General features: G+C 36.4%; 1 protein-coding gene across 3 annotated transcripts in view, besides 1 other annotated feature; it reads right to left on the reverse strand.

Moving 5' to 3' along the window:
• The window catches only part of PDE7A (phosphodiesterase 7A), a 127,731-nt gene that overhangs the window by 91,463 nt on the left and 19,930 nt on the right, over positions 1-16,338 (reverse strand). The gene's annotated exons all lie outside the window — the stretch shown is intronic.
• Positions 7,105-7,305: a silencer, noted in NCBI's record as "peak7055 fragment used in MPRA reporter construct". NCBI's record gives its function as "represses an SCP1 promoter by STARR-seq MPRAs in K562 erythroleukemia cells {active_cell/tissue: K562}" and the evidence as "EXISTENCE:reporter gene assay evidence [ECO:0000049][PMID:32103011]".

The following is a 16,338-nucleotide window of genomic DNA, read 5'->3' on the forward strand; positions in this document are numbered from 1 at the left end:
ATGTTAGCCGCCTTCTCAGCTCTCTCAAACTTTGGGGGTAGGTTTGCACAGACCTGCCCACCACAGAACAGTCACTTACTGTATTATTATACTTTAAAACTTATATGAGTCTTTCTTACATCACTGTTTGAGCAAAAATTGGTGCAAACTTCTGGAAGGTAATTTGGCCATGTTTATCAAAGACTTAAAGCTGCACCTAGCACTGTAACTAGTTACACTACTTCTAGGAATCTTAAGAAAACAATCATGGATAAGCATGAAGATTTAGCAACAAAGATTTTCATTACAGCATTGTTTATAATAGTGAAAAACTGTAAACACTCTAAATATCCAACAATAAGGAATGACTGGTTGACTAACTGTAAAAGTAGAAGTACGAAATATTTACAATCATTTGAAGTAAATGCTGCAAAACATAAATTTTCAAACTATCTCCCAAATGATAATAACTTAATTCTTGGACACTTTTAACTATTTTAAATTTGTAGTAAAAAAAAAAGTACATATTCACTTTGTAAATTCATAGAGACAGAAAGTAGATTATTAATTGCCACAGGTTGAGGGAGGAGGGAGTGGGGAGTGCTATTGAGTATAGAGTTTATTTTTGAGGTGATAAAAAAGTGCTGGAATTAGAGTAGTAAAGGTTGCACAACTTTGTGAATAAACTAAAAACCACTGAATCATACACTTAAAAGCGTGAATTTATGGTATGCAAATTCTTTCTTTAAAAATGCACATATTCAAACACTTTAGAATTTTAACTTGGTGGGACTCCTACCACAATATTAACTTATGTTGCCAGATAAATGTGTTTATATGAATCTTAAATTAGGCTGTCCCTTGGCACCTCTGTGCATGTAAGTGAATGTTCCATACACGTGTTACTGATTCACAAAGTTTGGGCTCTGCGCTGGCCTTCATCCAAGTTGGAGCACATGTCAGAAATGCATTCCTTTTCCATGTGGCTGTCCAGTTGTTTAGCACAATTTGTTGAAAAGACTATTCTTTCCCCATTGGATGGCCTTGGTACCCTTGTCAAAAATCAGCTGACCACAGACACATTAGTTTATTCTTCTACTCTCAATTCTATTCCATTGATCTATGTGTCTAAGCTTATGCCAGCACCCCACTGTCTTGATTACCATTGCTCTGTACTAAGTTCTGAAATCAGGAAGTGTGAGTCCTACTTTGTTCTTTGTTTCAAGATTGTTTGTGTTATTTTGGGTCCCTTGCAATTCCATATATTTTTTCAAATCACTTTGTCAATTTCTACAGCAATCAGCTGGGATTCTGAAAGGGACTATACTGAATCTGTAGATCAATTTGGGGAGTACTGCCATTTTAACAATATTAAGTTTTCCAATCCATGAACATGGGACATTCTTCCATTTATTTAGATCTTCAATTTCTTTCAACATTGTTTTGTAGTTTTCAGACAATACACTTTGCACTCCCTTTGTTAAATTTATTCCTAAGTATTTTATGCTTTTTCATGCTATTAAAAATTGAGTTGTTTCCATTTCATTTTCAGGTTATTCACTTTAAGGGTACAGAAATACAAGTGATTTCTGTATGTTGATCTTGCATCCTGCAACTTTGCTAAACTCATTTATTAGTGCTAAAATTTCTTTAGTAGATTCCTTAGTATCTTCTATGTAGATAATCATATCATCTATGACTAGAGATAGTTTTACTTTTTCCTTTCCAATCTGGATGTTTTTTTTATTTTTCTTGCCTAACTGACTTGGCTAGAACCTTTAGTTCAATGCTGAATACAAGTAACACAAGCAGACATGCTTACCTTGTTCCTGGTCCTACAGGGAAAACACCCAGTCTTTACCAGTAAGCACAATATTAGCTGTGGGTTTCTTGTAGATGCCCTTTATCAGGTTGAGGAAGTTCCCTTCTATTCCTAGTTTTCTGGATGGTTTTATCATAAAATGGTGTTAGATTCTGTTAAATGCTTTTCCTGCATCTACTGGGATGAGCACATGGCTTTTTTTATTCTACTGACATGTTGTATTACATCAGTAGCAAAAGAGACAGAACATGGGTCAGTGATGATGATTCTGAGCTGCTGAATTAACCATATCTGGAGCCACTAAACCCTGGGTCTTCTAGGTAAATCTTATTGTATACAAGAATTTGGAACAAGTTTTTTGTTACTTGCCACTAAAGAAATTCTGGCTGATACAACGAGTGTCATACTGGAGCCTGCTCACACTGTTTCAGGAAAGCCAGTTCTGTACATGTCTTCCCCACCCCCATTCAGTGATACTGCACTGACAGCTTCAAATCAGCCATGGTAACAGGATGTACACTATTTAATCTCTATTGAAGTATAGAGAAGACTGGAATAGGAACATTCAGTGCTAGTAGTTAAAATGAGCAGAAATTGGCAAGCACCATTTTTCTTTCAGAGATCCAGTTGCTACACATTTAGCAGCATACCACTGGATACAACTCTGTTTCAAAGTTTTCTTTTCATCAAATCTACCTTCTTATTCCCATAATAAAGTTAATAATAATGAATAAGTTACTACAATAAGAATTTTACCAACAAAATACTGTATATATCTGGGTTTCTAATAAGACTTTACTAGAAAAAAGTCTCCAGTATTTATTTCTATAAAAGAATATTTCAGAATATGGAAAATCACCGACATTATAAGTTTTTTTTTAAAAACAAACTGATTATAAAACATTACACACAGTAGGAGAAAGAATCTATTTCAATGAACAGATACTAGGACTGTCGAGCTAAACACCAATGTGTTCACAATGTTATTATCTCTGGGTAGTAACATTACAGATGATTCTTATTATTTTTGCATGTTCTTTCCCTTGATTTTTAATGATGAACATGTATTAACTTACTAAGAGTAATAAAGAAAAATACAATTTATATTTTCAAGAGGAAGAAACGTAAAGTATAGTAATTTTTGTCCGTGAGCACAAGAAGACACTTTTTTTCCTTCCATTTTATCTAGGAAGAACCTATACAATTCCTTGCAGGTAGGAAGGTAGCACTAGTTCTTAAACTGGGTGATTCTTTGTTGCTATTTATAATACAAAGTTATAAACTTGTTCTCTACCTCAAGACAATGTAGTCATAACTTACAATATGCATTATAAGAAAAGTGCTGTATTCTTCACACATAATCGCTTTGAAAAAAATGTGATCTGATTCATGAAATTGCATAACCTCTACTCCTAAAGAGGATATAGTAAAGTGAAGTAGCACTGGACCAAGAGTTAGAAGATTTGGTTTCTGGTTCTAGAGTTAAACCTTATTAGCCATGTGACCTCTGGCAAGGAGCAATCTCTCTGAACCTAAATCTTCTCATTTGTTAAATGGAGCTAATAACACCCATTCCTCTTCACAGGATGAGATAAAGTATATGAAGACTATCAAATGAAAGATGGTATCATATGCCACTGCTTCATTACATAAACATTAAAAGTCTTATAACAACCGTATTTTGTTCCACTTTGATACAGAAAAACAGCTTTATAATCAGGAAGTTATGATGCCAGTTTTTCTGGTAACAGGTTAATTTGCTCAGTGCTTTGAAGATCTTTGTATCAAAAAAAAGTTTTAAAAATATTTTCTTTACTGCATTACTCTTTTTAAGTTACCTCAAAAAATCCAAGGATGTCAACAGATTAGCATTACCACAACATGACACTAGAAAAGCCAAGAAAGCTATAGATTGATTTCCGTAAGAAATATTGCTGTAAAAGAAACTACCATCAGAGTGAACAGGCAATCTACAGAATGGGAGAAAATTTTTGCAATCTACCCATCTGACAAAAGGCTAATATCCAGAATCTACAAAGAACTTAAACAAATTTACAAGAAAAAATCAAACCCCATCACAAAGTGGGCAAAGGATATGAACAGACACTTTTCAAAAGAAGACATTTATGCAGCCAACAGACACATGAAAAAATGCTCATCATCACTGGTCAGAGAAATACTAATCAAAACCACAATGAGATACCATCTCACACTAGTTAGAATGGTGATCATTAAAAAGTCAGGAAACAACAGGTGCTGGAGAGGATGTGGAGAAATAGGAACACTTTTACACTGTTGGTGGGAGTGTAAATTAGTTCAACCATTGTGGAAGACAGTGTGGCGATTCCTCAAGGATCTAGAACTAGAATTACCATTTGACCCAGCGATATCATTACTGGGTATATACCCCAAGGATTATAAGTCACGCTACTATAAAGACACATGCACACATATGTTTACTGCAGCACTATTGACAATAGCAAAGACTTGGAACCAACCCAAATGTCCATCAATGATAGACTAGATTAAGAAAATGTGGCACATATACACCATGGAATACTATGCAGCCACAAAAAAGGATGAGTTCCTGTCCTTTGTAGCGACATGGATGAAGCTGGAAACCATCATTCTGAGTAAACTATCGCAAGGACAGAAAACCAAACACCGCATGTTCTCACTCATAGGTGGGAATTGAACAATGAGAACACTTGGACACAGGGTGGGGAACGTGACACACCAGGGCCTGTCATGGGGTGGGGGGATGGGGGAGGGATAGCATTAGAAGAAATACCTAATGTAAATGATGAGTTAATGGGTGCAGCAAACCAACACAGCACATGTATACATATGTAACAAACCTGCATGTTGTGCACATATACCCTAGAACTTAAAGTGTAATAAAAAAAGTATTGCTGTAAAAGCCCTAAATAAAATATTAGCAAGTAGTCATCAATAGAATAATACATTTTTTTTTGTTTTAAAAGAACAATATATTTTAACCAAGTAAAAATCATCCTATTTTTTAAGGATAAATTAATATTAGAATATCCACTAAGGTAATTTACTATATTAGAGCAAAGGTGAAAAACTTAAAGTATCTCAATAAATGACCCAAAATCATGTGAATAAACAATCACTCCCATATAAATACTCCTAATATTCAAACATATTTTAAGAAACAATCATTCCCAATAAATATTTCCTAATAAAGTAAGAAAAAGGTAAAACTGTTATTTGCAGGTGATTATGAAACAGACAAGAAAAGGGACTGAAAAACTATTAGAAACAATAAACTTAATATACAACTGATTTACAAAATTAATTCAAAAATTATTATAGTTTGCCCACATACAACCAATTAGGTAGAAAACATAATGAGGGAAAAAATTTATATCTGCAACCAAATAAAAGTAAATCTGGGTGTAAACAACAAAAATTGTAAAGGCCTCTATGAAGAAAATTTAAATCTCTATTGAAGGATAGAGAAGACTGGAATAGGAACATTCAGTGCTAGCGGTTAAAATGAACAGGAGGAGGAAGTGGAGAAAAAAAGGAGGAAGATGAGAGCAACTTTACCAGTCAGGTTCCCAGCAGAAAACTGATGACAAACTCAAGGAGGTAACTAAAGAGAACTTCATGAAGGGACTGTTTACTGAGGTCTGGCCAGGGTGCAGCACCCAGGGGCTAGCAATAGTGGGAAGATGTTACTACTGAACCCTAGTGAAGACTCTCACTGTGGGAGAGAAGACAAGAAATGTGGCCTTAGGTGAACAAACACAGCCCTCCAGGGGGAAAAGCTGGGAAATGTACCCTAAACTCTCTCTCCTCCCACCCGCCCATCTCCTGCTAGGCCTCCCATTGGCCAACCCAACGAGAAGCCAGACGGCATGAGAGGCTGGATGATTCCACAGAGGTTAGCCTCTTTCAGCAGAGAGCAAGATGAAGAGTAGAGAATATATTTGAAGGATAAAAGGAATATCCAGCACAGCAGCTATTCTCCTTTGACTGTTTATGCCAGGCACTGCTCTAGGCACTTTATTTGGATTAATCCTTTTAACTCTCACATGGTCTAATAATGCCAATTAACCCTAAACTACAAATTCAAACAATTCCAGTAAAAATACTTGGTGTGTAGTTAGAGGGAAGAAGGGAGTTTTCGACAAATGATAGATTCTTCTAGAATGATAAACATACACGCAAGGTCAGGGAGGGGGAAAAGAGAAAAATAATCCTATCAAATACAAAAATTAATTATTAAACTATTAGTTTAAATGGTTTGATACTGGAACATGAATAGACAGATCAATGGAAAAGAATAGAAAGTCCAGGCCAGGCGAGGTGGCTCACACCTGTAATCCCAGCACTTTGGGAGGCCAAGGCAAGTGGATCAGTTGAGCCCAGGAGTTGGAGACCAGCCTGGGCAACATGGCAAAACCCCATCTCTACAAAAAATACAAAAAATTAGCCAGGAGAGTGGCATGTGTCTGTGGTCCCGGCTACTCAGGAGTCTGAGGTGGGAGGATCATTTGAACTCAGGAGGTGGAGGCTGCAGTGAGCCAAGAATGCACCACTGCACTCCAGCCTGGGTGACAGCGCGAGACCGTTTCAAAAACAGAAAAAAAAAAAAAAAAGTCCAGGAATAGAACAAAATACATGCACAAGAATTTCACATGTGATAGAGGTGGTGTTTCAAATAAATGGAGAAAAGATGCAGTATTTAATAAATGATTTCGGAGAAACTGGCTAGTAAATAGAGGAGGAAAGGCTAAATTCCTGCCTTATTCCTTATACCACAATAAATTCCAGATGGAGCAAAGATCAAAACATGAAAAACAAACTGTGGAAGCAGAACCATAAAGAATAATGTAAAAGAACTGTATAAGAACACAACAATGGAAGTATTATCTTGAAGTAGTAAGGAGAATATTCTAAGCATGATATAGCACCAGAAGCCTTAAAAGTGGAAAAAAAATGACACATTTAATTAAATAAAACCACCACACACAAAAAAACTACCATAAAAAGTCAAAAGACAAGACATTAGATAAAATATTGGTAATATTGTAATAAAACCTTATTTTTCTTATATTACTCTTACAATGCAACAAGATAATGGCCAGATACGTATTTTTGAAAAATACAAATGCTATTAACATAAAAACATGCATAGCACCACTTTTAATAGAAGCAAAACAAACCTAATGAGATACCTTTTTATTTTAACCTATCACACTGGCAAGGATTCGAAAGACTGATAACACCTCACTGCCAGTAAGGGTATGGAGATAACGAGAAAGAAACAACAGATACCCGCACTGTTCAAAAAGGCTCACTAGCCAACTCAGGAACCAAACACATTAGAATAAATTTTCAAATGAACCCTCATTATCTGGACTGTCCCTACACTTGCTCAGGAACTAAACAGATTTGGATAACACCATATCCCTCACCATTTGAACTCACTGTGCTAATTCAAGAAAAGGAAAAGATTTGGACACAGTAGGCACTGTGAAAAACACAAATAAAAATACAAAACATACAGTTTTGTAGTGAGAATGTAAGTTAGCATAACCCTTTCAGAGATATCAAAGTTGTAAATGCACATAGCTTCTGACCCAAGTTCTACCACTTCTAGAAATGAATGTCACAGATATATTAGCATAGGAATGTAAATATATATGCACAGAATATTTACTGCAGCACTGTTTGAAAGTACTATTAAAAAAAAATACAAGAAACCCAACAACCAAAAAACTGTTAACAGCCTAAGCATCTTGATTAGTAGGGACCTGATTAAATTACAGTCCATTCATAGAAAGTTATGAAATCCTAGTTTTTCAAAGATGATTGGTATGAACTGGGAAAAGACCATTTAGTGAATCTTCTTAGACCAGGAACCAAAATGTAATTGTAAATATTGAAAATGATAGCTGATTTTCAAATTTTGACTTGAAAAATAAGACAAAAATATAAAAACAAGTTTATTTTATATTTGACAAAATTAAGTTATAATTTCAACTGCAAAATTCTTAGACTAAAAGAATGAATCAAGCATTGACTTTATTTTTTAATGTAATCTTTTTGACAAAACTGTATAATAGCACGATTGGATATCCTTCATGTTTTTCTCTTATGGGACAATTACAAAGAAGATATTCTTGCAAAAATTCTGAAGGGTTCCATCCATTTTCCTAAGGTCCTCTCTTTAATCGTCTGGTAGTCAAATCAGGCTCCCTTACAGCATCTATTATATCATCAACCTTGATAATTTTCTCTTCTTCAACTGTCAATAGCTTTGAGTTCTTTAATATCACACCCATGAACTTCATAAACACCTGCATATTTTGCAAGTTGAGCAATTTCAGTTTGCAAATGATTTTATTCTCTTTTATTAAAATTGCTAATAAATGGTCAGGAGCAACATTTGAGTGCAAACTAATTTTAAAAGTGGTATTTTCATTACTGAATTTTTTTTTTCTGAAGACCTTGGCTTACATAACCAATGCAGTAACACAGATGCTAAGCAGATGATTAAATGAAAATGACCTATTATACTGATATAAAGATGTGCAAGATACATTTATTTATAGAACAATATGTAGTATGATTCCATTTGCTTAAAAAGGACTTTCGGCCGGGCGCGGTGGCTCACGCCTGTAATCCCAGCACTTTGGGAGGCCGAGGCGGGCGGATCACGAGGTCAGGAGATCGAGACCATCCCGGCTAAAACGGTGAAACCCCGTCTCTACTAAAAATACAAAAAATTAGCCGGGCGTAGTGGCGGGCGCCTGTAGTCCCAGCTACTTGGGAGGCTGAGGCAGGAGAATGGCGTGAACCCGGGAGGCGGAGCTTGCAGTGAGCCGAGATCCCGCCACTGCACTCCAGCCTGGGCGACAGAGCGAGACTCCGTCTCAAAAAAAAAAAAAAAAAAAAAAAAAGGACTTTCATATGTGTATATATATAATACGTACACATATAATACATACGAAGATGTCTATCTTTATATGTGAACAAATTTTCAGAAAAAGCATTCAGGAAACTATAAACATTGCTTAACTCTGGGGAATTGCTAAGAAGAAGTTACCTTTAAGTGTATTTTATATCCTTCTAAATTATTTAATTTTGGCCAGGTGTGGTGGCTCATGCCTATAATCCCAGCACTTTTGGGAGGCCAAGGAGGACAGATCACCTGAGGTCAGGAGATCGAGACCAGCCTGACCAACATGTAATCCCAGCACTTTTGGGAGGCTGAGGAGGATGGATCACCTGAGGTCAGGAGTTCAAGACCAGCCTGGCCAACATGGTGAAACCCCGTTTCTACTAAAATACAAAAATTAGCTGGGCATGGTGGTGGGCACCTGTAATCCCAGCTACTCGGGAGGCTGAGGCAGGAGAATTGCTTGAAACCAGGAGGCAGAGGTTGCAGTGAGCTGAGATTGCGCCACTGTACTTCAGGCTGTGTGACAGAGTGAGACTCCATCTCAAAAAAAAAAAAAATTAATTTTGCCACAAAGAATAATACACATTTACAATAATGTTGACAATATTTATAATGTATTCACAGTAATGGTGATGTTGATATAACTAGGTTTTAAATTAAATACATAGTAATGATAGATAATCTATGATCCCAGCTTTCGAGAGTTTAAACTAAGCCCTAACTTATAAGAGCCATTAAATTTAGAAATCTCAAATACTAATTAAACCATTTAAATAACATTCTAATGCAAGGCTCAATTACCCTAGCAGTTTTTTTCAAATCTAATTACTTCAGACAGAAAACCTTTGTTTACCTTTTTACACTTTAGAGACAGGATCTGGTCTCTGATTACCAAGTTGTGAAACAAAATTTGAGATTTAAGAACTAGGCAAAAGATAAGCAAAACTAACTCCCAGTCATGACACAAAAAATATCTGTGCTCACTGAAGCAACTTTAACTGTTTTAAAACTTTTCCTAAGAAAAAAGAGAGATGTGTTCATTTTATACTAAAATTCCAATAAATGTTAAAAATGAAAGAATAGTCAGATGATTCTCAAAGTGTGCTACATACAGGGAGACCCAATACCTTTTCAAAGGGTCTTAGAGATAGAATTATACATTGCTAAGATCCATTGATAGAATAATGGATTTTAATGTAACAGTACAAAAAAATTCGTTGATATGGTTTCAGATCCTATGTTGTAACTAACTTTTACAAAACTATCACTTCTTGAGTTTTACTGTCATATCACAGAATTTTCACCATTATATGAAAGGGCTTTTAAAATATACCTCCGACTACATCTTAGTGGGGCCAGATTTTCTTCACTTACTTCAGCCAAAGCAACACACTATAACAAATTCAGTGCAAAGCCTAAAGTGAAATCCAGTTGTCTTCTATTAAGGTAGACGTTAATGAGATTTGAGAATGTAAAGCAATGCCACTCTCCTACTTCATTTTGGAAAATATCTATTTTCATTTAACACATGTTATTTATGTTAACATGTAATTGGTATTTCTTGTAAATGAATAATATTTAGCTCTTTTCTCAGTTTTAATTTCTAATACAATAAATATCAGTACATAAAACCCACATAAACAAAAGCTCTTTAGAGTTCTCAGAATAATAAAAGTGGAAAAGAATCCTGAAACAAAAAATTTTGAGTATCATTATCACAGTCTATTCTATGAATCAAAAGGCAAAGAGGTGAAAGCAATTTGCTTACAACTAGGACGAATGTGCAGAAGGTAATGTTAGATACTAAATTTGTTTTTTAGATAGAATTCAATGCTTTTTAAAGAAGAGATGAGAAAAAATATATTTATAGTCTTCTATATTAACCTACATATTGACATTTCCAGTGCTCTTCATTTCTTCCTGTGGATTTGAGTTTCCATCTGGTGTCATTTCCTATCAACCTAAAGAACTTAATCTTTTAGTATTTCTTATAAGGTAGGTCTGATAGCTACAAATTCTGTCTTTCTGTAGGAATGTATTTATTTCACCTTCATTTTTAAAGGTTAGTTTTGCTAAATATAGACTTCTTCACAGACAGTTTTCTTCTTCCAGCACTTTGAATATGTCACCCCACTGCCTTGGGCCTCCACCAATACTGATGAGAAAGCAGCCCTTAGTCATTGCTGATGCTTCCCTCTTGTGTAGTGAGTTGATTTTCTCTTGCTGCTTTCAAGATACTCTCTTTATCTTTCAGGAGTTTGACTATGTCTAGGCATGGGTCTCTTTGTATTAATCCTAGTCACATTCACTGACCTTCTGGATGTGTAGTTTAATGTTTTTCATCAAATATGAGAAGTTGTCCAAAAGGTCATTTTTCTGACCCTTTCTCCTTTTGAGATTCTCATTACACATCTGTAGTACACTTAATGTTTTTCACAGATTTCTGAGCTCTGTTCAATTTTCTTCCATCCTTTTTCAAATGTTTTCAAGATCGAATAATTTCTACTGGTCTGTTGTTCATGGATTCATTTTCTTGCCATCTCAAATCTGCTACGAGCCCCTCTAGTGAATTTTTAGTTTCAGATATTGTATTCTTCAACTCTAGAATTTCCATTTGATTTTTAAAACTTTTAACTTTGCAATAAATTATTTACAGAAAAGTTGCAAAGATAGTAGAGTGTTCCTATATATGCCTCCCTAATGTCAAAATTTTCTCCTAATGCTAATTAATATCTTACATAACTGTGTTATACTTACATACCATATACATAAACACACATCTACAAATACACAAACATGTCTATATATAACACATTTACATTAACAGACATAATAATGGAAATGTCTTACATAACCATGGTACGTTTATCAGAAATAACAAATTTCCATTGGTGCAACAAAACAAAAATATAGACTTTATTTGTCACCAGTTTTTCTACTGTTATTTTCCTGCCCATGATTCAATACACGATGCCACATTGCATTTAGTCATCATGTCTCTTTGATCTCCTCTGCCCTGTAATAATTTCTCAGTTTTTCCTTGTGTTCCATGACCTTGACAGGTTTGATGAGTACTAGTCAGGTGCTCTTATGGAATAAGCCTGAGTTTGGCTTTATCTGTTGTTTTCTCATGATCGGACTCAGGTTATAGGTTTTAGGGGAGAACACTACAGAGGTGAAGTCCCTCTCATTATATCTCATCATATCAAGGAGTGTTTTTTTTTTTTTTTTTCGAGATGGAGTCTCACTCTGTCGCCCAGGCTGGAGTGCAGCGGCGCTATCTCTGCTCACTGCAAGCTCCGCCTCCCGGGTTCACGCCATTCTCCTGCCTCAGCCTCCTGAGTAGCTGGGATTACAGGCGCCTGCCACTGCGCCCAGCTAATTTTTTGTATTTTTAGTAGAGATGGGGTTTCACCGTGTTAGCCAAGATGGTCTCAATCTCCTGACCTCGTGATCCGCCCGCCTCGGCCTCCCAAGGTGCTAGGATTACAGGCATGAGCCACCACACCCAGCCAGCTTTTTTGTTATTTAAAAAAATAATTTCTATATTCTTGTTGAGAATCTCAATTTGTTGACACTGTTATACTTTAAATTTCCTTTAGTTCTTTTCACATATTTATAGTAATTTAAGTCTTTACTAAATCCAGTATTTAGGGACATTCAGAGACAATTTCTACTGACCTTTTTTTCCTCGTGTATGCGTCACCCTCTGTTTCTTTACGTCTTATAATTTTTTTTGTTGTTAAACCTAGGGATTTTAGATAATGTAGTGACTCAGAATTCTGTTTTCCCCATTAAAGGTAGTGTTGCCATTTTGTTTTTTTGTTTAGCATCATGATCAAGACAAATATGTGGAATCTGTCTCCTCTGTTGTACACAATCACTGATATCTCTGCTCATTTTTTTAATATATTCTCATTTTGTATTTTTAAGCCTGCCTTCCTAGTTGTCCCTTTGCACAATTTAGTAGTTACTGTGACACTCAACAGAGACTGTGTTCAAATACCTCAAGATAGCAAGGCTTCCATCTTTGTTGATGGGCATGTGTGTGGGCAGGGAAGTGCATTCAAAGTTCAGCCTGTTTTCAAGTTTGCTCTGAGTTGAACTTCCCAAAGAGAGAAATTTCAAGTCTCCTATGTGCAAGCATGTACCTTTGGAACCAGCCAAAAGTATGTGAATACCTTAGGCTTTCTAAGGTCTCTGTTGAGCACATGCACAGCCTCATCCAGGAATATTCTTGCCCCAAACACTACTGAATCTTCAGGCTATTTGAGCTGAGCCCCTGGTCTTCCCTTGTACCTCTGGAAATTCATATCCACAACATTACCCACCACTCCAAAGAACTAAGCCCCCTTCAAACTGAGGTCCTTATGTCCTGCTTCTCACTGGCAGTACCTTCATGCCAACCAAGCTGGGGCAGAATTGGGGGAATGTGAGTAGCCTCAAGCTAGAATGGCCACTGACTCCCACTGTTCTCACTCCAAATTCAAGAGCATAACATTTTTCAAAGTTTTATACAATTGGCCTTTAGTCAACCTCCAGAGCACTGAAATGGCTGCTTTACAAAAGTAATGTAAGGGTGGGTGTAAGGGCTCATGTCTGTTATGCAGGCACTTTGGGAGGCCAAGGTGAAAGGACTGGAGGCCAGGAGTTCAAGACCAGCCTGGGCAACATAGTGAGACACTGTCTCTACAAAAAAATATATGTTAAGTTAGCTGGGTGTGGTGGCACATGCCTGTGATCCCAGCTGCTCTGAGGCTGAGGAGGGAGGATCACTTAAGCACGGACGTTCAGGGTTGCAGTGAGCCCGGACCACACCACTGCACTCCAGCCTGGGTGACATAGCGAGACCCTGTCTCAAAGAAAAGAAAACTTGTTTAAGAAATAAAAATTCTATTAAAATGTTCAAATTGTTTGGACCAATAATTCCACTTCTATAAAAACCATCCTTAAAGAAATAACACCAAAATATGGAGAAAGCTGTAATTAGCATGTCCTTACAAAGTTATTGTTAACAGCAAAAAAATTAAAGCAATGTAAGTATTTAGCAGAGCTAGATATTAATAAAACCATGGTACACACAACTGATACATTACATAATCCTTAAAAGTTAAAATTACAAAAATTATTCCATTGTAAACTTCTTAATTCTTCCCATTGACAAAAGTTAGTAAGATTAATTTTATTCAAATTGTGGCACACTACTAGTTGTCTCCCAAAACATCTATTCTCATGTTCTTCCTGAGCATACAATCAGTCACATAGGCTCCATTTCCCAGCCTCCCTTATAGGTAGGCATAGCCGTGTCACTAAGTTCTCACCAATGATGCAATGTGAGTAAAAGAAATAGCAGAACTTCCTGCTCACCTCCTCAATGGCAAACTGTCCTGAATTTCCTCCTTCTCCTCCCCACAGACTGAAGTGTGAAATTGTACAACCATGACAAGTGGATCCCTGTATTACTTCATGGAGCAGAATAGAATATCTCCAACCTACTACATGACAGCAAAATAAAATGTTATCTTATTATGAAGACTAAGTAACTGTAAAAATCCACATTTTAAAAAGTATTACATGGCCAGGTGTGATGGCTCACGCCTGTCATCCCAACACGTTGGGAGGCCGAGGCAGGTGGATCACTTGAGGTCAGGAGTTCAAGACCAGCCTAGCCAACATGGCAAAATCCTGTCTCTACTAAAAATACAATAATTAGCGGGACATGGTGGCACATGCCAGTAGTTCCAGCTACTCAAGAGGCTGGGGTGGGAGGACTGCTTGAGTCCAGGATGCGGAGGTTGCTGTGAGCTGAGATCATGCCACTTCATTACAGCCTGGGTGACAGAGTGAGACCCTGTTTCAAAAAAAAGAAAAGGAATTATATCCCCCAAAGCTATAAAATTAAATGTACCAAATGATCAAAACTACCTTAAAATATGTATATAAACATAGGAAATACATAAAAATAATATTTGGTGGTTGAACTATTAATTATTCTTTATCAAACTTTCAGTAATGTTGTTTAAATTACTTTGACAATTTTAAGAGTTGAAATTGTTTTTGTCTGTCTTTTGAGATGGAGTCTCGCTCTGTTACCCAGGCTGGAGTGCAGTGGCGCAATCTTGACTCACTGTAACCTCTGCCTCCTGGGTTCAAGCGATCCTCGTGCCTCAGCCTCTCAAGTAGCTGGGACTACAGACGCACACCACTATGCCAGGCTAATTTTTGTATTTTTAGTAAAGACAGGGTTTCACCACGTTGGCCAGGCTGGTCTCGAACTCCTGACCTTAGATGATCCACCCGCCTCAGCCTCCCAAAGTGCTGGGATTACAGGCGTGAGCCACCATGCCTGGCTGAAATTGTTGATTTAAACAACTGAGGATATAAATAATAAAACAGTGAAAAGCAGTTCCAAAATAGATTTAAGAAATTTTTATCCTATTGACTTTCATATTATAAAACATGGGTCCTCTGGCCAATATTCCAAATCCAAGGTGCTTGGTCTGCAAATCAGTGTCATCTGCATTCTTTAATAAGAATTATCTACTCATACTTCTCAAGGGCACTAGCTAGTAGCCTTAACCAGTAAGACTACCTCCATATAACTGAATAGGCCTTTTTGACTTTTTAAAAAAACAAAACAAAACAAAAAAAAACCCTTTTTTCATATTTGTATTTTTTTTAAGAGAAAATAATGCCTCAATGCAAGGAGATATGAGAACCAGACCTAAAAAGCTTTATGAAGCTTCCATTAACCTAAAAATCTGTCTAAAGAAGGATGAGCACTGTTCCCGCTGTGAAAAGCATAGCTTCTCATAAAATAGCAATTTAAGGTTAAAATTCCCTCCCCCCTAAACCAAGATACAGCCCAACCCAAAGAAAGCAAAATAAATGTAAAAACTTTGCCATCCTCTCATATTTGAAACTATATAATCCCTCTAAAAATATAGCCAATTTATACAGTATCTTGATATTCCCCAACGATTAAACTTAAGTTTTGAAGAGGAAGAAATGTGTATAACCCTGTAATATATTGCTACTGCAAATCTATAGAAGTGGTACCCCGACTCCCAAGCAATATGTACCATAAATGTTCATTTTTAGAGCTATGCTGTCCAATGAGAATCACTAGCCATCTGTAGCTATAGAATACTTGAAATGGTGATAGTCAGAATCAACATGTGCTACCAGTAGACAATACACACTGAATTCTGAAGACTTATTATCTAAAAACTATAAAATATATCAGTATCTTTCTAATTTTGATTACATGTTAAATTGATAAAGTTTTACATACAGTGAGTTAAATAAAATTATTTTCGTCTGTTTCATTTTACTTTTTAAAATATGGCTACAACAAAATTTAAAATTACACATGTGGCTCACAGTATATTTCTACTGGACACCAATGGTGTCATAACTGAACAAGCTGATCCAGTTCCTAACAGGCAGAATTTTATAACCACTGCCTTTTGGCTTAGTACTCTCTAGTCCCATACTTTTATGCTGAAACAAAGAGGGTATGTTGACCTGGGGTTATGTCCCACAGATTACCAAAGGTAAGGGCTGCCTATAGTCATCCTGCTACTCAACAGGGACC

This window comes from Homo sapiens, chromosome 8 (assembly GCF_000001405.40).
Source record: "Homo sapiens chromosome 8, GRCh38.p14 Primary Assembly".
Lineage (NCBI taxonomy): Eukaryota > Metazoa > Chordata > Mammalia > Primates > Hominidae > Homo > Homo sapiens.